At 43.9% G+C, this 25857-nt stretch overlaps 2 annotated features.

Moving 5' to 3' along the window:
• Nucleotides 9737-10513: an enhancer, noted in NCBI's record as "OCT4-NANOG hESC enhancer chr1:62866517-62867293 (GRCh37/hg19 assembly coordinates)". NCBI's record gives its function as "activates a minimal SCP1, AML or CMV promoter by ChIP-STARR-seq in naive and primed H9 embryonic stem cells {active_cell/tissue: H9 hESC(naive and primed)}" and the evidence as "EXISTENCE:reporter gene assay evidence [ECO:0000049][PMID:30033119]".
• Nucleotides 24287-24581: a silencer, noted in NCBI's record as "tiled region #10636; K562 Repressive non-DNase unmatched - State 22:ReprW". NCBI's record gives its function as "represses a minimal TATA promoter and a strong SV40 promoter by Sharpr-MPRA in K562 cells {active_cell/tissue: K562}" and the evidence as "EXISTENCE:reporter gene assay evidence [ECO:0000049][PMID:27701403]".

Raw genomic sequence — 25857 nt, 5'->3', positions numbered from 1 at the left:
AATATTCTTATTTAAAAATTTTTTATCCCATAACTCCAGTAGCCAAAATCTTTATCTACTCTAGTTTTATTGCTTTTTTAAAAATTGGAAGCTCAAAAATATTTTGAGGCATGGGTTGAGATGTCCTTGTGGTAGGCAGAATGATGGTCCTCCAAAGACACTGATGTCCTAATGCCTGGAACCTGTGAACAAAATGCCTTACATGGCAAAAGGGACTTTGCAGATATGATTATGGTTAAGGAACTTGAGATGGGAAGATTATTCTGAATTCTCTGGTGTACCCAATATAATCAAATCAGCCTACAAAAACGGAGGATTTTTTTCTAGCTATACCAAGAGAAGGTGATGTGACTGGAGAATAAGAGTCAGACAGGTGTAAAGTTGCTGTCTTTGAAAATGGAGAAAGGGGGCTGTGAGCCAGGAAATGTGGTCAGCCTCTACCGACAAGATGGGTTCTCCCTTAGACCCTCCATAGAGGAATGCAGCCCTGCTGGTTGCTATGTTGCCTGGCCTGGTTTCAAACTCCCTGGCTCCAGTGATCCTCCCACCTCAGCCTCCTGAGTAGCTAGGATGACAGGTGTGCACCACTGTGCCCCTTGCTTACACTTTCATCTTAGCCTATTGAGGTTCACATTGGACTTCTGACCCGTGGAACTGTAAGGTAATAAATGTGTGTTGTTTTAAGTCACTATATTTTTGGCATTTTTTTATAGCAGCCATAGAAAAAAAAATCCCATATTTTTCCCAAGGAGGATTTCTTCAATTTCTCACTTATGCCTTGAGGCACTCCAGACCTGGTCCATTTTAAATAGTGATTTATGATGTGTGTGTATCACGGCGAGGTATATTGCAGTTTTTAAGACACTCATGTAGATTCAGGCCCAAAACCTGTGTGAGAGTTGGTCAATCACTAAAATTCTCAGGGAACTTTTAAAACTTTCTCTTCAAGCCAAGGGCAAAACAAACCATTTTCCCTGTTCTCTACATTTGTGGGGAAGATTATTTTCCCCAGGTTCCCAGGAACAGTATTTTCCTGTTCCTGAGTCCTAGCTTTACCTGTGGTGGTCTCTGCTGGCTCTCTGCCCTGGGTGGGCCCAAGGCTTTATTCCCAGGTTCCTCTGTGCAGTGATGCACCTGCCATTGGTCCATGTATGCTTCTAGGTTATCTGATGGTGTCACCATCAACTTCTTGGGTTAATTTCCTCATTCATACTCCCCTCCCTGCTTTTATGTTCCCATTTCATCCCGGACTTCTTCAGGTTTCCCTTTCCTTCTAATCATCTAAGAGTCAGACAGAGCCTGTGTGTGTGTGTGTGTGTGTGTGTGTGTGTGTGTGTGTGTGTGTTAGTATTTTGTTGAGTATTTTTAGATGATATACAGCAGAAGAATTTAAGGATCTCTAGTCTTTCATAGCAACAAAATGGACATCACAAAAAACTTTTGAATCTGTCCCTTTCTCTCTGTGGCCTTAGTTTGTCTCCACTCTCTACTTTCACACCTTCCTGTCAAGTTCCTCCTATTTAGTCTCTTTCTCACTCTGATCCATCCTTTCCATTGCCAGGAGGGCTGTCTTTCTAAGACATCCATCTATGTATAGTTAATGTCCTATCTCCCGTGTTCGGCATGCAAACCCCTCCATGGTGTAAGTTTGCCCCTATTTCTCCAATCTAGTCACTTCCCTCTTCCCACCCTATACTCCAAATATACTGAGTTATTTGCGTTTTCCCCAGTGAGCTATGTTGTTCAACAAATCTGTTTTTTTTTTCCATATTGATTCCTTTACTCAGAGTACTCTTTTTTTCTCACCCCCATCTCCTTTTGTTAACCTTGAAAACTCCTTAACTTAAATTCCTAGTTTTGTTGTTGTTGTTGTTGTTGTTGAATTTGAGACAGGGTTTGGCTTTGTTGCCCAGGCTGGAGTGTAGTGGTGCAATCACGGCTCACAGAAGCCTCAACTTCCGGGGCTCAAGGGATCCTCCCACCTCCGCCTCCTGAGTAACTGAGACCACAGGCGTGCACTACCACACCTGGCTATTTTTTTGTACTTTTAGTAGAGACAGGGTTTCACCATGATGGCCAGGTTGGTCTTGAACTCCTAAGCTCATGCAATCCACCTGCCTTGGCCTCCCAAAGTGCTGGGATTACAGGCGTGAGACACTGCGCCTAGCTGATCATCTTCTTGATGAGCCTTCTTTGTCCGTCCTTTCCCTCCTCTGCGCACAATTCAGCCAGCTTTGACTGGCCACTGTGTTCCAGCCCCAGTGCTGGTCCAGGAGTTACAAAATTAATAGGATCAAATTTCACCCTTTAGGAACTCATATTTCTGTAGGACTCACCAAGTAATGAGGTTAATCAAGTCATCTTTATGTTACCATTTCACATAGGACTTACTCCTGTTATAGTACTTTATACCAAGTGTTGACTCCTTTGTGTACGTATCTGAGTCTCTTGATGTTTATATTTCCATTCCTAATTAACATATTTTATTCTGATTTTATACAAAGGGATGGGGAGGAATAAATAATTTGTTTATATATCTACCTCCTCTGTTAGGCTGTGGCTTCTTTTAGAAAGTGAATCCTGCATTATTTGTCTTTGTGAATATAGTAGGTACTTAATAAATAAATGGACAAATGAATAAATTCTTACCTGTTCTGACATTCTGTAGTTCAAAAGTTGCCTCTGTAGAAAAGCCCACAGCAAACTTTTCTGATTTTTCTTCACAGAGACTTCCATTATACCACTTAGCCTTTTGTTATATTTTTATATTGTTTGCTCTACATTGAGATAATTTTTTAAAACCCTAGATTTCTAGTATCTAGGGCCTGGCTGGAGTGCAATGGCGTGATCTTAGCTCACTGCATCCTCTGCCTCCAGGGTTCAAGTGATTCTCCTGCCTCAGCCTCCGGAGCAGCTGGGATTACAGGCATGTGCAACTATGCACAGCTAATTTTTATATTTTTAGTAGAGATGGGGTTTGCCATGTTGGCCAGGCTGGTCTTGAACTCCTGACCTCAGGTGATCTGCCCACCTCGGCTTCCCAAAGTGCTGGGATTACAAGTGTAAGCCACTGTACCCAGCCAGGTTGAAGTTTTCAAATGCAAGCCCACCAAGTAGGTCTTAGAAATGTCCACTATTTAAAACATTCAACATTACATATAAAACAACTTAAATTGTAAAACTTAAAACTTCTTAAGTAGTTAAAAGACAGAATTTTGTAGTTAAAAGAGAGAACATGCACAAATAATTGACCAGTTTACTAATTAACTAAAGGTTAAAGAGAAAAAAATTAAAGGGAACTTGGCCGGCACGGTGGCTCACTCCTATAATTCCAGCACTTTGTGAGGCCAAGGCGGGCAGATCACCTGAGGTCAGGAGTTCGAGATCATCCTGGCCAACGTGGCGAAACCCTGTTTCTATTAAAAATACAAAAAATTACTCAGGCCTGGTGGCAGGCGCCTGTAATCCCAGCTACTGGGGAGGCTGAGGCACGAGAATCGCTTGAACCTGGGAGGCAGAGGTTGCAGTGAGCCGAGATCGCACCACTGCACTCTAGCTTGGGGGATGGAGCGAGACTGTCTCAAAAAAAAAATTAAAGGGAACCTTTAAAGTTTTAACCTTTTAACTAGTTAACTGAAAGTAAGTATCACCTACGATTTATCCAACTGAAGTATCTCTGGAACATGTGCTTTAATACTTTGAACCAATTCAAGATATGAGGACTATCTGAGATGTGCTTTTAAGTTTCTTAACAGTAGGTGGCGCTCACATCATAGTGTTGGTTGGTCTTTAAATTTGCTGGTTTTCCAAAAGATAGTGGCCTGGGGAGGCCAAAAGATGGTTCTCCACATTCATTATGTATGTGGAGGTCAGAATGTGTAATTGTTATAAGGACAAAAAACAGAATTGTATTAAACAATAAGTATTGCTAGTAATTTATCCAGACTCTGTTAGCTAGTACTCTAGGCAGTTGGGCACGTTTCTTTGCTTGTGTGGTTTAATCAATATACTGGTTAAAGAAAAGCAGGAGGGAAGAGTGACAATTTAGCAGGATGTTGAAAAGTGAGCAGTATGGGCTTTGGAATTAGATAGACCTACAGTTATATAAAACAAGGGATACCAAGCCCCTCGTTAATATTTACTCTTCAGCGTGGTTTTCACCTCCATTACTCTATTAAAAACAGTTTCCCCACCACCACACCTGGCTAATTTTTGTATTTTTAGTAGAGACAGGGTTTCACCATGTTGGCCAGGCTGATCTCGAACTCCTGACCTCAGGCGATCCACCCGCCTCGGCCTCTCAAAGTGCTGGGATTACAGGTTTGAGCCACTGCGCCTGGCCTTAGCTAGTCTTCTTGCATCTGATAGCAATACCCCACAGATCAGGAGGAGATTCCAGACGTAGATCAGATTTCAGAATCAGTAGGGATTCTCAGTAGAGGAACAACGTAGCAGAAAATCTCAATCACAGCCAATGCTCAGTTAATTCCAGCTTCTACCCATCCTGCTCCATGTTGGTCCCCAAGGTAGCATCCGGGCTCTGATAGACTCATGTGGCATGAAGGGAAGGAGGAGGTTTCTGGTTTGTTGTCATCCTTGGCCAGCATCAGCTGCTGTCAGTCTTGTGTTGCATCCTTGTTTATTGGCCTCTATCTCCACTGCATTTGGTGAGGTAATGACAACTAATTAAGTCTCTCTTCTATGTTCTTGACTTAATTTACTCATTTAGTTCACACAACTATCCTATCAGGTAAGAACTATTGTTACATTCATTTTACAGGTGAGAAAACCTAGGTGCAGAGAGGTTAGGTAAATTGCCCCAGGCCATACAGCTAGACAGCGGCAAATACACTGGCTCCAGACCTGTCTCTTAACCATAGGCTGCATTACCTCTTTCTATCTGGTGTTCCCAAGGGCCCTACTTGGCCAGGAAGGTTGTTTTTTTGTTTTTGTTTTTTTCCTAATATGGTACTAAATTTGATTTGTGACTTAAAAAAAATTTCGACTTTTATTTTAGATATAGCAGGTACAGATGCAGGCTTGTGACTTGGGGATATTGCACCCAGGTAGTCAGCACAGTACCCAATAGGTGGTTTTTCAACCCATGCCCCTCTCCCTCCTTCCCTACTTGAGCAGTCCGCAGTGTCTGTTCCCATGTTTATGTCCATGTGTGCTCAATGTTTAGCCCCCACTTATGAGGACATGTGGCATTTGGTTTTCTGATTTGTTAACTTTTTTAAAAAAGGTTTGCATCTACATTCATAAGAGAGCATGGCTTACAATTGTATTTTCTTGTACTCTTCTTATTTTGGGGAGTATCAACATTATACTAGTCTCATAAAGTGAGTTGGACAGCTTTCCCTCTTTTTCTATTCTATGAAAAACATCTATAAGGGCTTATTTCTTCTATGAAGGTGTAACAGAGCTTGCATATAAAACTGGGCAGCCGGGAGTGGTGGCTCACGCCTGTAATCCCAGCACTTTGGGAGGCCGAGGCCTGTGCATCATGAGGTCAGGAGTTCAAGACCAGCCTGGCCAACATGGTGAAACCCTGTCAGTACTAAAAATACAAAAATTAGCCGGGCGTGGTGGCGGGTGCCTGTAATCCCAGCTACTCAGGAGGCTGAGGCAGGAAAATTGCTTGAACCCAGGAAGCGGAGGTTGCAGTGAGCCGAGACTACACCAATGCACTCCAGCCTGGGTGACAGAGCAAGACTCCATCTCAAAAACAACAACAACAAAAAAAAAAACAAAAAAAAAACTGTCTGGGCTGGTGGCTTTTTGAGCATGGTAAGACTTTTACTTAACTAGCTTCCATCAAGCAGCCATTCTGCACTAGACAGAATGAGGCTGCCGCCTCCTGCAGGGAGCACTGACTGGGATCTTGTTCCTACTGTCAAAGGTGCAGAGTGTCAAGTGGTGGAGGCGATGGCAGTGATGTTTCTGCTAGGACAATCTCATGATGTGAGTAGGCATTTTTCCTAGATGTGTGGGTCCTGATATACAAACCTGGCTGTCAGCCCTACCTGGAGAACTGGGGAGTTACCTAATATCTTATTAGCTCTTCTCTGCTTAAATTAGCTTGAGTAGATTCATTTTTCAGCAACTAAGAATAAACTTTAGGACATAATACATGGTAATTTTTGTATATGTACACTCTTTCTTATTTAATACTATTTTTGTCCACTTAAACTATCATTTCTTATAGTCTACTAACATATAACAAGCTATATTAATAAGTCCATTTAAATTTATGATTTTTTGATCAATCCTTTTATCATCAGATACTGTCCTACTTTCTATTTATTACTTTTAGCCCTAAATTCTATTTTATTTGGTACAATTTTGTTACAGTGGCTTCTTTTCTATTACTATTCCTATTAGTTAGAATTGGGTTCATCTGCAAAGAACTGAGACTCAGAATAACAGGAACCCAAGGGAGAGAGGAGCTTTTTCTCTCAGGTGGAAGTCCTGTGAGAGGCAGCCCAGGGTGAATAGAATGGCTCTGTTTCAGAGCCCTTGGGGACCTAGGTATTTCAGCCTCACTACTCAGTCATCCGTAGTGCATGCTCCTCATCCTCATGATCCTCCGCTGAACTAGAAGCCTTCTCAGCATAATTCAAGAAGGAGCCTGCACACAGGCAGTAAGGTCAGCCCTCTGCAGGATACTTTTCTGTGGATTCAAGATAGTGTCTGTGCTCTTTATTTTTTTAATTTTAATTTTAATTTTAATTTTGTAGAGATGGGGGTCTCACAATGTTGCCCAAGCTGGTCTTGAATTCCTGGGCTCATGTAATCCTCCTGCCTTGGCCTCCCAAAGTGCTGGGATGGCACAGGCGTGAGCCACCGTGCTGGGCCTCTGTGCTCTTTATGATCTCAATGTCAAACATCCCACTTGCCACTTGCCACTCACAGTCTCTTTTCAGCTTTCTCTCTCTAGTATCCCAGCTCAATCATCTTTCAACTCCACTGGGGCCTTCCATCCATTTCTGACATCAGTTCTTCCTTCTCTACTCTTCCCAAGCATACAGTTGTGCCATTTTTCCTTCCATCTTATATCTTATTTGGTCCCAGCACCCCCACACCACCTCCCTCTGCCTGCCAATTATGGTCTCATTTCTTTTCTTTTCTTTTCTTTTCTTTTCTTTTCTTTTTGAAACAGTCTCACTCTGTTGTGCAGTGGCGTAATCTCAGCTCACTGCAACCTCTGCCTCCCGGGTTCAAGTGATTCTCCTGCCTCAGCCTTCCCAGTAGCTGGGATTACAGGTGTGTGCCACCATGCCCAGCTAATTTTTGTATTTTTAGTAGAGACGGGGTTTCACCATGTTGGCCAGGCTGGTCTGGAACTCCTGACCTTGTGATCCACCGGCCTTGGCCTCCCAAAGTGCTGGGATTACAGGCGTGAGCCACCGCACCCAGTCTGGTCTCATTTCTTTAATCATTCTTGAAAAAGCTGTGAGTTCTCACTGTCTCCAATTCTCTGTCCTCCAATCCTTCCCTAAGCTTACTCTAATCAGGCTTTTGCCCAGGTCACCACAGAAACCTCCTCAATTTTGCCAAATCCAGGAGCGGATTCACAGTCCTCATCTGCTGGGAGATCAGGTTCCCTTAGGGCCAGAAGAGGGGGAGCTGTGTCCTGATGAGACCAGCCGTCCGCTGATGAGAAGGGATGGCTAGACCTTTCCATGCCTGCCAGCATTCATCTCATCAGGGTGGTTTGCTTTCACTGACATCCAGTATTACCAATTCATTATTTTAGAAGTTACATGGTGGGCCTGTGTTTTTGACTGCCCACAGGACTCCATGTAGAGAAATTGTCATTGGTGAACTCGTATGTCATTCTTCCTTCAGGAAACATGCTCACCAAAGTGATGACTTTAGCTGCAAGCACACCAGGGAAGTCCAGCCTCCTCTGAGGCTCCCACTCCAGCCCATGTGATGGAATCAAGGCTAAGCTGGGAGGCAGAGAGAGGGGCAGATGGAACAGAAAGACTAACCTCACTAACTGGTCTCACAGACAGTACCCAAATTTAAGAGAGCTTGACATTTTCGGATCCATGTATTTGGAATTTGAAACAGTCTTGGAATGAGAATTATGAGCTTCTTTTTGCAAATTTTATTGTTTTTTTTTTTTGAGACGGAGTTTTGCTCAGCCATCCAGGCTGGAGTCCAGTGGCACGATCTCAGCCCACTGCAACCACTATCTCCTGGGTTCAAGCGATTCTCTGGTCTCAGCCTCCCAAGTAGCTGGGATTACAGGCACCCGCCATCATGCCCAGCTAATTTTTGTATTTTAGTAGAGACAGGGTTTCACTATGTTGCCCAGGCTGGTCTTGAACTCCTGACCTCAGGTGATCCGCCCGCCTTGGCCTCCCAAAGTGCTAGGATTACAGGTGTGAGCCACCGCGCATGGCCAGGTTTTATTCTTAACAAGCATTCATCAAGTAAAACAAGTCAGGCACGGTGGTGGTTCATTCCTGTAATCTCAGCTCTTTGGGAGGCAGAGGAAGGAGGATCGCTTGAGGCTGGGAATTCGAGACCAGCTTGGGCAACATAGTAGGACCCCATTTCTATAAGCAATTTAAAAATTAGCAGGATGTGCAGTCCATGCAACTCAGAGTTGAGGCAGGAGGATTGCTTGAGGCCAGAAGTTAGAGCCTGAAGTGAGCTATGATTGCGCCACTGCACTCCATTCTGAGCAACAGAGTGAGACCCCATCTCTAAAAAAAAATTCAAGTAGAACAATAGTTGTCCAGCCCCACCTGGCTCCCAGTCTCTCACGCCCTCCTCTCCCCACAGCTGGGACCACTTAAGACCCACTTTTTTTTTTTGAGACAGAGTCTTGCTCTGTCGCCCAGGCTGGAGTACAGTGGTGCGACCTCAGCTCACTGCAAGCTCCGCCTCCCAGGTTCACGCCATTCTCCTGCCTCAGCCTCCCGAGTAGCTGGGACTACAGGCGCTCGCCACTGCACCTGGCTAATTTTTTTTGTATTTTTAGTATAGACAGGTTTTCACCTTGTTAGCCAGGATGGTCTGGATCTCCTGACCTCGTGATCCACCCGCCTCAGCCTCCCAAAGTGCTGGGATTACAGGCTTGAGCCACCGCGCCTGGCCTTTTTTTATTTTTATTTTTTTAAATCTCAGACACAACACAAACTCAGTCACTCCTGGCCTCAGGTCAGAGGGCTCTAAGGAGCTTTCACCCAAAACTGGTTGCCTGAGGATATAGCCTTTAGAGTCCTAGGCCTGATTTGCGTGACCCTTTGTTGGTTGAGTGCTACACTGTGGTGGGCTCACTGTTATGGGCTGAGATACAGAGAGAAACGAGACATATTTTCTTATCCTCCCCTCCTCCAAATACAGCTCAATGAAATATACGAACTAACACATACAATAACTGCACAGAATCTGTTATTTGCCAAAGAGAAGGGCCTATGTGTGGACCTTGAAACCTCCCCTTTCCCCCCAAAAATGCACACCTCTGACTCCGGCCTATTCCACCTCTCTTCTTAAAATTTTTTTAAATTTTTGTGGGTACATAGTAGGAGTATGTATTTATGGGGTACATGAGATGTTTTGATATAGGCAGGCAATGTATAATAATCACATCATAAACTTCCCACCCACCTTGTGTCTGCTGTCAGAGTGGTACCCAGGGCTGGGCTTTTTGCTAAGGAATGGCATCAAAATGGGCCCTCTGGGGCTTCAGCCAAACTCAGCTGGAGCTTCCAGTTTCTGTTCTATTCATTTTCCGTCAGGAAAAATACCAAAACATTCTAACAAGTGTTTCCATAGATGACAGCTACATCCCTTTAAAGAAAGCAAACTCCATGTTGCAAAGGGTAAGTAATATGGTTGAGCAAGGGTTGGTTGACTATGACCTGCAGGCCAAATTCACCTGCTGCCTCTTTTTCCAAAAATAAAGTTTTATTGGAACACAGCCATGCCCATTCATCCGCAATTTGTCTATTGCCCCCTTTGCACAGCGATGGCTGTTGAACAGTTGTGATGGAGACAAGCGGCACACAAAGCTTAAAATATTCACCCTCTGGCTCTTGATAGAAAGTTTGCAGACCCCTGTGGTTTGAGCACAGCTTGACCTCTTTCTTCTAAACAATTAATGAATTCAAGCTTCCAAGTATTTTACCCCAGGGCTCCTGTTTGCCTCTGACAGCTGATTATGTATAATTATTCTCAGTCAATTTTTACTGTAAGATTTTCGAAAGTGGCAGTATAGTTGATTGCCAGGGCCCTTAGGTCACAACCACAGATGGCACAACTTAAAATGAAAGGACCCACCCATTAGCACTAGTATGTTATTCCAGATGACTGCTGAGAATACGAGTAGCCTCACCACCAAGTGTCCTGGAAAAAGGACAGCTACCCCTCATCTCATGACTTGGTGAACTTCATATACAAGGTTTTCCCTCATTCTCTGGTTTCTACTGCCTGGACAATTACCAATAGGTAACACCTGGGTTTCTTGTTTCCGCCTCAGCTTCCTGGGCCATGACTATTGAAGGATTCTGTTGTGAGGTAGTTTTTGTAGGAATTATTTTTCCAATCACAAACAAAAACAGAAAACACTTCCGACTCCAATTTTAATGATTAAACTAAAAAGCCTACTATAAAGAGATCAGTAATTACACCTGGTATTTATTCAGTAATCTCTAGAATGAAATTTCTCAGTCTTTTTTATTGCCCCTTAAGGAAGCTTTTTTGCCAATTTTTTAAAAAATTACCCTTCTCCCCATAAAGTTTTAATATCACAGATATACTGTATATCTGTGTATGTACCATGGCCCTTTGCAAGATCACAAACGATTGTAATGGTTTTGTCACCCCTACTGAGAATGCATTTTCTAGGACAATTGACTAATAAATTAGGAAAAAAGGAAAAAAATAATTCAGCATGTTATTTTATGATTATTATTATTATTATTTTAATTTTTGAGATGGAGTCTCACTCTGTCACCCAGGCTGGAGTGCAGTCGCGTGATCTCGGCTCACTGCAAGCTCCGCCTCCCAGGTTCACGCCATTCTCCTGCCTCAGCCTCCCGAGTAGCTGGGACTACAGGTGCCCACCACCACGTCCGGCTCATTTTTTGTATTTTTAGTAGAGACGGGATTTCATCCTGTTAGCCAGGATGGTCTCGATCTCCTGACCTCGTGATCCACCCGTTTGGCCTCCCAAAGTGCTGGGATTACAGGCGTGAGCCACTGTGCCCGGCCTATTTTATTATTTTTTTGGAGACAGAGTCTCGCTCTGTTGCCCAGGCTGGAATGCAGTGGCACGATCTTGGCTCACTGCAACCTCCATGTCCTAGGTTCAAGTGATTTTCGTGCCTCAGCCTGAGTAGCTGGAACCAGATGTGCACCACCATGACTGGATAATTTTTGTATTTTTAGTAGAGATGGGGTATCACCACGTTGGCCAGGCTGGTCTTGAATTTCTGGCCTCAAGTGATCCGCCTGCCTTTGCCTCCCAAAGTGCTTTGATTACAGGCATGAGCCACCGCACCCAGCCCCATCTTGTCACCATTTTAAATAACCTTCATTTATTTATCTGATCTTAGGGACTCAGGTGATAATGTGGCTCCCCTTCCTGGGTGAAAGCCTCACTATCCTTGCCCACTTTGGGTCCACTTTGGGTGATGAACCAGGTATGTGCTTGAGCCCCCTTGTACAGTGGGAGCCAGGTCTACCCTCAGGGCACAATTAACAGCTTCTTCTTTTCAAGTCTGTGTTCACTTAAAAAGTTTGAGACCCTGCCAGCCATCTTCGGCCAAGTCTACTTGACCCATTGTCAGTTAAAAAATGTGAGAGTTGGTCCAGGATGAGGCTAAATACAATGTGATTGAGAATGTTCCCTGCATGAATAGAGGCCATAAAGTCTCTTCAGGAAAAAATCAGAACTGGCACATACTCCAAGGCAATTTTCTCTAGGATACCTCTCAGCCCATGTAGCACTCTCAGTCCAGAAGCAAAGCTAATCCAGCATAAGAGGTATTGCTGTCAATCACCCTAAAGAGGAGCGGTCCAGAGAGGACCAGGATGATGGAGGGATTCAGGAGTAACCAAGAAAAAAAAAAAAAGAACACTTCAGATTGCCTCATGTGTTTAAACATCTTAGGAGATTTATACTTAGTTCCAGAGTTTGAAAATTAAATAGTGATGGTTACCTAAGAAATGGAACAAAACAAAGGCAATTATTGACAGAAAACAAAAAATTGTATCATATAAAAAATCACAACGCACTATATGGCTCATCTGGGAATAATATTTACATGGTTCTAATAATGTTAACATTGAGTATTGATCTTAGGCTGGCATGTGTTTTTATCCCCAGTATTTCCAGTTGCTGATGTCTTCCTCAAGAACACTCAAATACTAGGCGGGGCGCAGTGGCTCACGCCTGTAATCCCAGCACTTTGGGAGGCCGAGGTGGGTGGATCACCTGATGTCAGGAGTTCAAGACCAGCCTGACAAACATAGTGAAACCCCCTCTCTGCTAAAAATACAAAAATTAGCTGGGCGTGGTGGTGCACACCTGTAATCCCAGCTACTCAGGAGGCTGAGGCAGGAGAATCGCTTGAACCCAGGAGGTGGAGGTTGCAGTGAGCCAAGATCACACCACTGCACTCCAGCCTGGGCGACAGAGCAAGACTGTGTCTCAAAAAAAAAAAAAAAAAAAAAGAATACTCGAATACCATTTAGCACTTGCTGATGTTTCTCATCGAGAAATTATGTAGGCTGGCCATTCATTCTTCCCACCACCCTATGAGTCACCATGATCCTTTAACTAATGTCATAATTGGTGAAAAAAGTCTCGATTGGTGCTTTCTTTCTAAAAGGGAACTCATCCTTATATCAAAATGCATCCACTCCAGGATGGGGCGTCAGCCCATGAAGTGGGACGGCTATACTTCACACTGGGACACCCTGTGGTGTCCGTGATTGTGACTAAGTTCTGGATATGGACAACCCTGAAACATCCAGCTTTTGGAAGTGGGCTCTCCCACAGTAAAATGGACAGGAGTGGGGTGGGTGGGTGGGTGGCGTGATGTCTTCTCATCAGGATTATTTTTAACTGGGCCTTTAGGAACCTGAAAGAACCATATCAACGTTCTCTTACCACATGTGTTAGTTTCCTATGGCTGCTGTAACAGGTACTAACTTTGTGTCTTACAACACAGTTAATGATTTTATAGTTCCGAAGAAGTCTGAAATCTGTTCACCACCTTACAGTCAGGGAGGCAGCAGGGCTGTACTTGCCTGGAGGCTCTGAGGGGAGAAGTCATTTCTTTGTCTTCTCAGCTTCTAGAGGCTGTCCATTCCTTGGTGATGGCCCCTTTCATCTTCAAAGCCAACGCTGGCCTCCCTCTGACTCTGCTTCTGCTGTCAGTCCCTTCTGTGACTCTGACACTCCCACCCCTCTCGTATAAGGACCCTTGTGATGACACTGGGGGCACCCACTGGATAATCTCCCCATCTCAACATCCTTGGTTTAATCACATCTGCCAAGTCCCTTTTGCCATGTGGGATAACATTCTCCAGTTCAGTAGATTAAGACATGAACATCTTTGAGGGGCCATTTTTCTGCCTACCACACCAGGGGCTCCAGGTAGTGGGTCTGGTTGGGGGAGGTTGAAGGGGTTGGGATCAAATGGAGGGGCTATGACCACTACCTTCTCATTCTAAGTTAGAAAAATATTTAGGGTCCTTGGCCAAGGGTTTCCTTCATAGCCTGTCCTCCCAAATAGCTCCAAGCCAGGTGTCTGGATGTCATCCACACCCACCTGTGCCCTCACTTGACAAAGAGATTTGTTTAGACTTGCAATTTCACCATCTCCACAGATCTGCGGTTCTCAAAATAAATTTCTAGAGCTGCAACTCAGCCTGTTTAGCTAGCACGTCATGGAGAGTCCTGCAGTGTCTTGGGGGATAGAGATATTTAATTTGGCCCTGGCGTGTGACACCTTCTCCTTCTTACCTCCTTCCTCCTGGCCCCCAAGCTTGCATTTACTATGGCTTGTGGAGAGTTAAGAATCCCACTATCCTATCCTACTCGTGAATTGCTTGACATCAGGGCATCCTGTGCTACCAGAGCTAGATCCTTGGCAGTGCTGGGATAGCCTCAGGGTCCCCAGGGCCTGTGGCCCCACTTTGGGATGGGAAGGCAAAGAGCCCCGGGGAAGAGAGCCATGAAACCTTCCCTGCTCCCTTTCCAGGCAGAGGCCCGCCTCCCTCCTGACTTGGCTTCTTTTTCTGCATTCTCATTTGGCGTTTGACTAGTCACGTCTCTCTGTGGCAGATCAACGTGGGGACTCCCTGATGCTGGGAGAAATTTTACATTTTAAATCGCTGAGGCCCCAGGGTGATGGGAGAGCTCAGACTTCCTTCAGCTGGCACCTCTGCTACAGGAGGGATCCTGGTCCTGGGAGACAATTTTGTACCAGAGAGCACCTGGGTGGGGAGAAGGCAAAGAAGACTTGCCCTAGAGTGAAGTTTGAGGTGTTGGATACCATACTGTATTGTTTTGTTTCTGAATTAGGTTGTCTATTCCTGGCTTTAAGAGTGTAGAAAAACTCCCTGATTTTCGAGAGATTGTGAAAATTTTACCCACTGAATTGATTTAAAGAGACAGTAGAAAACAAAATAAAACTGCATTTTGATTACGTGCCATAAGTCAGGTATGCTTTGTTCAACACACCCAATACATTAATTTCCTATATGAGGGCTCAATATAAATAAATTTGCCTGCCTGCAGATTCACTAAGTGTTCTCTAACATATCATTTCTGTTAATGCTCTTTTATTTTTATTTATTTATTTATTTGGAGACGGAGTCTCACTCTGTCACCCAGGTTGGAGTGCAGTGGCGCGATCTCAGCTCACTGCAACCTCCACCTCCCAGGTTCAAGTGATTCTTCTGCCTCAGCCTCCCAAGTAGCTGAGATTGCAGGCGCCCATCACCATGCCTGGCTAATTTTTGTATTTTTAGTACAGACGGGGTTTCACCATGTTGGCCAGGCTGCTCTCGACCTCCTAACCTCAGATGATCCACCCGCCTCGGCCTCCCAAAGTGCTGGGATTACAGGCATGAGCCACTGTGCCCAGCCCCTTTTATTTTTTTATTACTATTTTATTTATTTATTTAAGACACAGTCTTGCTCTGCCGCCCAGGCTGGAGTGCAGTGGCACAATCTCAGCTCACTACAACTTCCGCCTCCCAAATTCAAGCAATTCTTGTGCCTCAGTCACCCAAGAAGCTGGGACTACAGGCATGAACCACCACGCCCAGCTAATTTTTATATTTTTAATAGAGATGAGGTTTTGCCATGTTGGCCAGGCTGGTCTCAAACTCCTGGCTTCAAGTGATCTGCCCACCTTGGCCTCCCAAAATACTGGGATTACAGGCATGAACCACTGCGCCTGGCCTTTTTTTTTACTATTAAAAAAAATTGTTTTAGAGACAAGGTCTTGCTGTTACTCAGGTTGGTCTTGAACTCCTGGCCTCAAGTGATCTTTCTGCCTCAGCCTCCCAAGTAGCTGGAATTACAGGCACTAGCCACTGCACCTGGCTTATTAACCCCTTTTAAAATTTCCCCATTGTATGCCTGTTGGGAAATGTACCGGAAACCTAATTCAAGTGTCCTCCCTTTCCAAATAGCACCCCCTCTTCCAGGCCACTTGATCACTTCAGTGGGGGACAAGGAGTAGACTGGAAGCTGGAAGGATTTCCTCCTCGCGAAACAATTGGCCAGTGTGGAAGGCCAGACCATCTGGGCCCAGCACAGAGGCTGCTTTCTTCCAAGAGGAATGCTGAGCACAGAAACACCCTGACCCTTGGCTGTTCCAATCCCTGTTAGGATCCTCTGTTCCGGGGCCCTGGAGTAGGACCTGCAGGTCAGTCCTGTTCTGTGACTGCTGACAGGACCCTGCGTCCTGATGGCTGCTTGGTCTCTTCAGACTGGGGCCTGGCATAATTTCCCTCTGCCCACCTCAGCCTGGATCACTGGCAAGGGAGCAGAGAGACTCTTGAGTAGGTCACTACTTGGACAACTGGCAGGACTGGGGTAGTCATCTCTTATTCAGTGGGCACTGCTGGGGGTCAGGCATTGTACTGGGTGCAGCACACCTCAGGTACTTTCACAGAACATTCTCAGCTGTCTCATGAGGTAGATGTTACCATCCCCATTTTGTAAGGAGACTAAAGTCCTGTCTCCATCAGGGAAGACAGGATGGCGTACTCAGAAGGTTTAATTGAAAAGAGTTTAAGGAATGGACTATTTACAAAGGTGTGGGCAGAATTAAGGGGGCTAACAAGCGATGACGGAGCCCCCAGGGGTTAGTAGCAGCTGGAAGCCATGATCACCCCCAGGCCTAAAGGGGAAGAGAAGGCAAGTCACCCCTACCAGACAAGAGCTGGGATCAGGGAGAGTGTGGGAGCACTGCAGAACCACCAGAGGGAAGGTGGCAGTGGGGAATGAACACCCTCCCGTCACCTCTGCTACCACTGCTTTCCAATGCCCAAACTCAGCTGAAAGCCAGAGGCCCAGGGCGCCTGGTGCCACAGCCCACAGAGCTCAGCCTCCCGAGAGGCCCAGGGACACTAGACGGCGCATGTCCTGAGAAATAATCTGACCAGAAGTCCTGTGCTGAGATTTAAACGCTAGTTTTCCTGAAGCCACTGCTGTCCTTCCTCCCATTGTCTACACTATCAAAAATAGCAGCTAGAAGTCAAAAAGAAAAAGAGATGGACAAGGAAATTAAAGTTCAGCTCATAGACCAGTGGCATCCAAAGTGTATTCTGAGGTACACTAGGCTCTTTTGTTGCCACATAGTTTGACAAAGGCTTTATTTCATATCTCCCAGTTGGAGCTCCGAAATGTGTTTTAGCATATTGAAGACTCTGAGATGTAATTAAGCCTAACTAATTTTCATTCTTTTCTTCAACTTAATTGACCATGAAAACTTTTTCCATTCATATAATATCATGGAGACTTTGTATTCTTTGAAACACGCTTGGGGAAGTACTGCTGTGAGCAATGGGGTTTGATGCAGGGAAAGGCTGAAGATAAATTTCGCTGCAGTGTAGCAGGTGGGTTTGAAGAGGGCAATGAGGGAGACAGGCAGATCAAGCAGAAGGCTCCTCCAGTAATCCAGGCAAGAGATGAGAAAGGCTGGAGCCTGGGAAGCAGCAAGAGGAGGGAGAAGAAGAGCCAATTCCTCCTTGGTAATGGGGCGAATGGTGAGTCATTATGCAATGGGCCGATCTGGAGGAGAATCAGACAGAGGCTGTGAGATATTCAGGCCAGTTTTTGACACATTGAGCATAAGGTGCTTTGGTATAAACAGATTTTTTAGTTGGAAATTGGGGGTGCAAGATTAGAGTTTTGGCAAATGGTTGCTGCTCAAGGTACACATTTGAAAGCCATCAACATATGGGTGATGATGGAAGCCCTGGGGGTGGTTGGCACCCCCCCAGCTGAGAAAGTAGAGCAGAGGGTCTAACTTGGCTTGAGGGTGTGAAGAAACTCCTGAAATTACTTAGGGTATTATGTGTCCATGAATATAGGCATTTTTACTTATTTATTTTAGGGATGACTCTCTCATAGCTTCTAGCATGTTTTCAAAGGTGTCCTTGAAAAAATAAGTTTAAGAACCAGTGGTGAAGAATGAGAAGAGAGGAAGATCAAGGGTAAAGTCTGCAAGAAGAGTAATCAAATAAGTCTGACACCTTTGAGCCAGAGGGGTTGGAGCAATGCAGGATGCAGGGGCCGCAGGATCCAGAGCAGAAGGAAGGATCAGCAATTTCCCGTGATCCGAGAGTCGAGTATGATTAGGTCTAGAGATAAGCCTTTGGATTTGGCAATTAGAAAGTCATTGCCTTGTCAAGAGCAGTGTCAATTTTGGGTGGAGGAGATTATAGAGGATGGAATAGTGAGTGGCTTGGGAAGAAGCTGTTGGTGTGAGAAGAGACCAAGTCCTTCAAGAGGCTTGTGGTCAGGCTGGGCACAGTGGCTCACACCTGTAATCCTGGTGCTCTGGAAGGCTGAGGTGGGAGGATCACTTGAGGCCAGGAGTTCACGACCAGCATAAGCAACACAGAGAGACCTCATCTCTACAAAAAAAATTTAAAAGTAGCTGGACAGCTGAGGTGGGAGGATCACTTTAGCCCTGGAGTTCGGGGCTACAGTAAGCTATGATCTTGCTCAATGTGTACCTTGAGCAGCAACCATTTTCTAAAACTCTAATCTTGCACCACCAATTTCCGACTAAAAAATCTCTGTTTATACCAAAGCACCTTATGCTCAATGTGTCAAAAACTGGCCTGAATATCTCACAGCCTCTGTCTGATTCTCCTCCAGATCAGCCCACTCCAGCCTGGGTGACAGAGTGAGATCCTGTCTATAAATAAAAAATTAAATAAGATGCTTGTGGTCAAAGCAGGACTAGGATTAGGTGTTTATACTGGTTTGAAATTGAGAGCAATAAAAGTTTGATATTCAGGACCCACCCCTGAAGACACTGTTTTTAAAGGGAAAATTATAACCTACATACTGAAAGACAAAATGTATCTAGGTGCATTTGGGCAGGTATAACAAACTAGCATAGACTGGGGGCTTATAAACAAAAGAAATTTATTTCTCATAGTTCTGGAGGCTGGAAAGTCTAAGATCAAGATGCCGGCAGATTTGGTGTCTGCTGAGACCTTGCTTCATGGTTCATAAATGGTCATCTTTTCACTGTGTCCTCAAATGGTGGAAGGGTAAGGGAGTTCTCTGGAGCCTTCTTTTAAAAATAAAAGGCACAATCCTATTCATGAGGATTCCACCCTCATGACTTAATCACCTCCCAAAGGCCCATCACCTCATACCAAAACCTTGGGAATTAGGTTTCAACGTATGAATTTTGGGGGGCCACAAACATCTAGTCTATAATACTGGGAAAATAAAATATATGATTCATGAAAGTTATCAACACACACACAAAAGCAGCAAGCAGATCTGGGGAGAAGAGGCTGAATAAGGATAAATGTTGAGGAGCAGAATTGATAGGACTTGCATTGAAATTGGATTTAAAAGAAGGAGAGGAGTTAGGGCTGACTTGTAGACTTTCGACTTGAGCCAGCTGGGTGAAGGGTGGTGTCTTTTACAGGGTTGAGAAAGACTGGGAGAAGAGCAGGTGAGGAGCGGAAAGCAAGATTTCTATTCCAGATGTCTTAAATCATGTGACACGTCAGAGTCCTATCAGATGCCCAAGTGGAGAGGTTAAGATAGAGATAGAGTCTGGAGCTGGGGGAGAGGATAAAGTTGGAGATAGAATTTGGGAGTCATTGTATGTGGATGGCATTTGAGCTATGGGCCTAGATGAGTTCACCTTGAAAATGAGTATAGGTAGAGGAGATGCCCAAAGACTGAGATTTAAGCACTCCTGCATTTAGAGGTTTAGAGGGAGGAGAAGGAAACTGCACTTGGCCAAATACAAGACAAAGTGATCTTCTACACTCAGGAAGAACACACTGGGAGAGGTTGCTTTCTGAGTACAGTACTCCTGAGTCTGTATTCATAACCACTGCCATAGCCACTAGGGTAGCAGTCATCTTAGCAGAATTATCTGTTCTGCATTTATTGTCAGCCCCAAGCAACTTACCCACGGTCAAAGATCATAGGAGCTTATTGAAACTTCAAAGCCCATGCTCATTCAGGGCAGGTGGTCCTGCTGCAGCCAGTGCTCAGCACAACTCCAGGGACGCTAGTCCCATAAACTATAATGCAAACAGCGCCCTCTGTAGGGCTCAGCATGCACAACCATATGTGCCCTTTCTTACTATGTCTTGCTGCCTTGGCATCTTTTCTGCAAAGTTCTGCTACTTTTAATGTAAATAAGTCCTTCCAAAGCCTCCTGATAAAAGGGGTTTATTACAGTGATTATAAACTTGAGCTTTAGAGTCAAAAAGAAATTTGTTCAAGTCACAGCTCAGCCTCTTACTAGCTGTAACCCCTTTCAGCTCCAGTTTTTCCATGTATGAAATGAAGAGAATTAAAGCAGTCACCTCAGAGGGATGGATGAGTATTAAAGGAAAGAAGCCATGAAGAAGGTTTAGCATGCTTTATTCAATTTTTTTTTTTTACTCAGTGTTAATTCATTTTTGTTTCTAACTCCACTTCCTGGGCCCAGACTTTGGCTCTCAGGAGAGATCGGAGGTTTTATGGAAAGGATGGGAATCAGATTTGGTTCAAATCTGCCAGCAAATTAATGAAAAGGGCACCATGGATCAGGAATCAGCGTGCAGAACAAAGATTTGCAGCTCAGCAAGCAAGGAAAATAATTTGGGTGGCTTTGTTTGGGACTGTTACTCTCCTGTTCGGGAAAATGCTGAAAGTTTATTGCAAAGTTGTTTCTTTTTTGAGTCATTTATCATAAAATTGTTTTTGTTTCTAAGCACGTAAGGAATTCCAGGACTGCGTAAAGAAGGAAACTTTGAAAAGCTGAGATCTAGGATATTGGCCATGTAATTTCATTGTGGGGCAGGGCATTAGGAACTAAAGGTAGGCTGGCTCAAGGGATTAAAATCTATTTACAACCTAGTTACCATACATGTATATCCTGTTTTCTCCCCATTGTGCTGGGCTGAGTATCTAACAAAAGATTCTCCCACATATCTGAAAATAAAATGAGCGCCTGGCTCCAGTGTCTATGAGAAATGGACATAGTATGCTTGTATTTTATTTCTATGAAAGGTGCATAATGTTTTCTAGGTTCTTCTGCTCTTTTTCATTCTTTAAAGAAATGGAAACAAAGAGGCCAATCCTGACAAGAAGGAGATGCTGGCCAAGAGCCCCAGATCTTCCTCCTGGTCTCAGAACAAAATGTGAAGACGGTCTGAGTTTTCAGTGAAGAAGGGGAAAAAATGTTTGAGTTCTGGAGTCTGACGTCATGGTCCTCTGTTGCTCCCTACCCTACCAAACAACGGTGCAATAACTTGATGTTGGAGAAAGTCACTTTTCAATGTGTATTGGGTTCCGTTATTTTTCAAGACTTCAGTAGATGTGCGCGACAGGGCAGAGTCACACCCACTTCTGCTCGCTCCAGACATACCTCATCCCACAGGAACGGGGACAAGGGGTGGCTTCCTTGGCCACCTTTCAAGAATGTGCAAGGTGAATCCTTTCAAGAGGAGGAACAATCAATCCTACTTACATTTATTTTTATTATAGAAAAATCTTACTGTATGCAAAAGTAGAGAGAATAGCACAATGAACCTCCATGAAACCCCCATCCAGCTTGACAGCAATCAACTCACAGCCCCTCTCATTTCCTCCATGCCCTCCATTCCCCCCCACCCCAGATTATTTTGAAGCAAATCTCAGGCACAATATCATTTTTCCATTAAAAGTCCTGGTGCAGTGGCTCATGCCAGTAACCTTAGCACTTTGGGAGGCTGAAGCAAGAAGATCCTTTGAGGCCAGGAGTTCCAGATCAGCTTGGGCGCATACTGAGACCCCATCTCTACAAAAAGTAAAGTAAATTAGCTGGGTGTGGTGGTGTGCGCCTGTAGTAGTCCCAGCCACTCCAGAGGTTGAGGCAGGGTGGATCGCTTGAGCTCAGAAAGTTGAGGCTGCAGTGAGTCATGATTGTGCCACTGCACTCCATCTTGAGTTACAGAGGGAGAACCTGTTTCTAAAAAACAAAAACAAAAACAAGCAAGCAAACAAAAAAAACTGGTGCGGTGGTTCACACCTGTAATGCCAGCACTTTGGGAGACTTTGGGAGGCCAAGGCGGGCAGATCGTTTGAACCCAGGAGTTTGAGACCAGCAACATAGCAAGACCCAGTCTCTACAAAAACTTAGCTGAGTGTAGTGGTTCATGCTGTAGTCCCAGCTACTCGGGAGGCTGAGGTGGGATGATCGCTTGAGCTTAGGAGGTTGAGGCTGCAGTGAGCCGAGATCACAGATTGCATTCCAGCCTGGGCAACAAAGCAAGACCCTGTCTGAAAACAAAACAAAACCAACGAACAAACCAACCAAACAATGAACAGTCCTTAATATTGTTATATATCCAGCCTGTATTTAGCTTTCCTGAATACAAGAAAGTCTCATAATTGTTTTACTATTTTTAGTTAGAATCAGGACCCAAATAAAATGCATGTATTGTACAGCTGATATGTTTAAGTCTGTTTTAATTTACAGGCTTCAACTATTTTCTTTTTTTGTTTCTTTCCTTGCAACCTATTCATTGGAGAAACTGGACCAATGTCATAGTGTTTTCCATATAGTCTGTCTTTTGCTGATTTCATCTTCCTCTGACCCCTGCATGTCCTATAAATTTTTAAATAGATCTAGAGGCTTGATCAGATTTCAATTTAAGCTTTTTTGGTGAGAATACTCCATAGATGCTGTGTACTTCCATCAGGAGGTACATACATAATGTTTGATTGTCTCCTTTCTTGTGTGATATTATTAATAGCAGCTATCAATGATTCCTACCCATATCCATTAGGAAATGCAAATTGATGATAGTCAAATTATATCATTCCTTTATAATTTATTTAGCAAAAATACTCTGTAAAAAAAGCTTTCTCTTTATTCACTATTTGGCTGAAATATAGATTGCACAGGAATGAGACTAAGTGCTTGATTGTTTTCCTTTATTTACCAATATTCAAAATAATAAGGTGTTTCCCTAGGATCCTCCGAATGTAACCAATGCATTTTTTTTTTTTTTTTTGGCCAATGAAACTTTAATTGCATTGAAATAAATTCATGGATTTTTAATACATTTGATGGTTTAAATACATTGCAGTGATTATTCTTATTGATGTTCAAATTATTCCATCTTTGGCTAGTGGGATGCTGTTTAAATTAGCTGCTGAGTCTTCCTGAAACAAACCTACTGGTCTTTGATAGTTTTCTTGCTTTCTAATATGACAAAGCAATCCAGGGTCATCTTGCAATTTTCTGCCCCAGATTTGGAATCAGCTATTTCTCCAAAAAGCCCTGGCTGCTTTTGGTGGAAAATAGGATTTATTTATTTATTTTTAGAAACAGGGTCTGGTCTGTCTCTGTCATCTGGGCTGGAGTATAGTGGCGCCCTCATAGCTTGCTGCAGCCTCTAACTCCTGGGCTCAAACAATCTCTCCACTTCAGCCTCCCAAAGTGCTGGGATTACAGGCATGAACCACCATATCCAGCTGGAAAATAGGATTTAGAGATTACAATGAGTATTCGCTGTGCTCATTCTACTGGGTTGATCATTTGCTTCTAGTCCTTTTCAGTGGACAGAGCTAGGAGATATATATATATATATTTTAAGATCAAATATATCATGGGTTCATACCAACACTTCCATTTAAAATTCAGGGGTCAGGGTTTTAACGTAACCTCACAATCTTATGTCTGCATTTCCTTTCTCCAGTGTCAACTTTTCTCTCACACTGATGACTACTGTTTTCAAAGATGTTCAAAGAGATTCTAAAATTTTCTGCTTTCCTTCCCACTTGCATCATTGATTTGAACAAGTGTAGGTGCATCTTAAAATTGTTTAAACTTCAAATAGAAATGACTGTTTGGGAGCATCCTAGTCTAGGTTTTCTTTTAGAGAAGCTAAACTCGCAGGAACCGTTAGCCCTTTGCCTTCAGATTGTCTCAAGGGATTGGTTGGAAAAGCAGCCCTAATTTTCCCAACCAATTCTCACAAATGGTTGGGTCAGTCTCAGGAACCGACTGGCTTCCAGAGAAGCAAGAGGAAGCGAGCAGGTTTGGTGCATGTAGGAGTTTGGGATTTGACCACAGGTCACCATCTTACCTCGGGAGCCATTAGTGGAGTTATGAGGTTCTGAAACCATCTGGATGTCAAAAGTTGTAAATGTGAGGTTTGGGGAAGAGAACAGACACTAGGACCCTGTGTGGGACACCAGTTTAGAATCTGTCAGAAGGGTTTATGGGAAGAACCCTCACAGTTCTAATAAACACAAAACAACTATAGTTTGTGGCTTCCCACAGGGCTTATGGTGTTGTTGACTTATGAGAAGTAGATATCTATTTCATACAGACTTAACCAGATGTCCCTCCATCATCGGCGAGAACCTACAAAAGAAAAATTTCTCAACATCTTATTTTAACTCCTAGTGAGGGGGCTGGTGGATGGCCTACCTCGCAGAATCATAGAATTACAGAATGGCAGGGTTGGAAAGTCTCTCAGTCATCTAGTCAAGGTTTCCCCAACTTCCTTGAAGATAGGAACCTAAAGCTCCTGTTTAAAAGCAAACAAGCAAGCAAGCATAGAAGCAAGCAACTAAAAAACAAACAAAAACCAGGTTATTGGGCTCCAACCCAGATCCATTTCATCAGAATTTCCATGGAGGGTTTAGTAATCTCAATATTTAACCACTACCCCAGGGATTCTTATCTTTGGAGAAGTTTGGAAATGCTGTAATCCAACACCCTCATTTTTCAGATGTCAAATTAAGATGCATGTAGGGGAAGTGATTTGTCAAAGTCACCCAGCTGGAGAATAGTTAATATTCCTGGAAGATACATGCCCTACAGTTACTACCCATTAACCCACCCACATATGGATGGTCACGTATTTCCTTAGCAGGCTGACTATGTAGTTGTCCAATGGATTCACAGACAAAGAAGATAGTCTAAGTATTTATGGGTCTTTCATGGCTAATTCCATAGTAAAGAACTTTTTTAATGCACTGTACTATTGTTTAGCTTTCTAATCTCAGAAAGGTCTTTATCACAGTAAAATGTGTTCTCAGAAGTTGGCTGTATTGGGAAATGTAAGACTTTGAAATGCAAATACGCTTTTCTTGCACAAAGGACTCCTGTAAATCAGAGGGCCTCATTTAAAGAGAAACCAACATTTAAACTAGAAAGCAAGATAAAAGCACAACACAAGGATTATGTTTCCTTTCCCTTGGTCATGGGCCAAAGTTTATTCACCATTGTCTGCTCATTACATTAGATCAGTGTGTCGTGAGGAGCCCTGTTATATAGATATTAATAGATGTGCTGCCAATACAGATTTTCCTTGATCAAAGTTTGGGAAAGGCAGCATTAAGCTGCTCTGTCTTAGAAATTCATAAAACATATTAGCTCACTGCTGTTAGGCCCAGTGGCAGAGTAAGAAATAGAATGCTTAGCCTATGGCACAGAAAGGAATCCTTTCTATGGAAGAATGCTGACTTTTGAGAGCTGGTGGCCCCTGCCCTACTCTAGGGATTGGAAGGGCAGCAAGCTCACAGCTCTGCCTCCTCCAACTTGGCCGGTTCCTCCTTACCCGTGGACTGCTTTGACCTCCGCACTTCAGGGACCGCCCCGCATGAAAAATAATGGAGGTATTAAGGAACTTTGTCCTCTCACATGTAACCTTATTTTGTGATCACTACTTTTCTGTGAGCTGTACCAAGATGTTCTCCTACTAAAATCTAGTGCTTCTGTATTTCCCCCAGTTTTCAGGAAAATACATTAGGCCAATGGGTATCATTTTAAATTTTAATTTCTTCTGTAATTTTTTCTTAAATATTTGGACCTGCTATTCCTTGTCCCATATAAGCGTACAGTATAGGCCGGGCGCGGTGGCTCACGCCTGTAATCCCAGCACTTTGGGAGGCCGAGACAGGCGGATCATAAGGTCAGGAGATTGCGACCATCCTGGCTAACACAGTGAAACCCCGTCTCTACTAAAAATACAAAAAATTAGCAGGATGTGGTGGCGGGAGCCTGTAGTCCCAGCTACTCAGGAGGCTGAGGCAGGAGAATGGTGTAAACCCAGGAGGCAGAGCTTGCAGTGAGCCAAGATCGCGCCACTGCACTCCAGCCTGGGCACTAGAGCGAGACT

The sequence above is a fragment of the Homo sapiens genome, chromosome 1 (assembly GCF_000001405.40).
Source record: "Homo sapiens chromosome 1, GRCh38.p14 Primary Assembly".
NCBI classification, from domain to species: Eukaryota; Metazoa; Chordata; class Mammalia; order Primates; family Hominidae; genus Homo; species Homo sapiens.
This window is presented reverse-complemented; position numbering and strand designations above follow the sequence as displayed.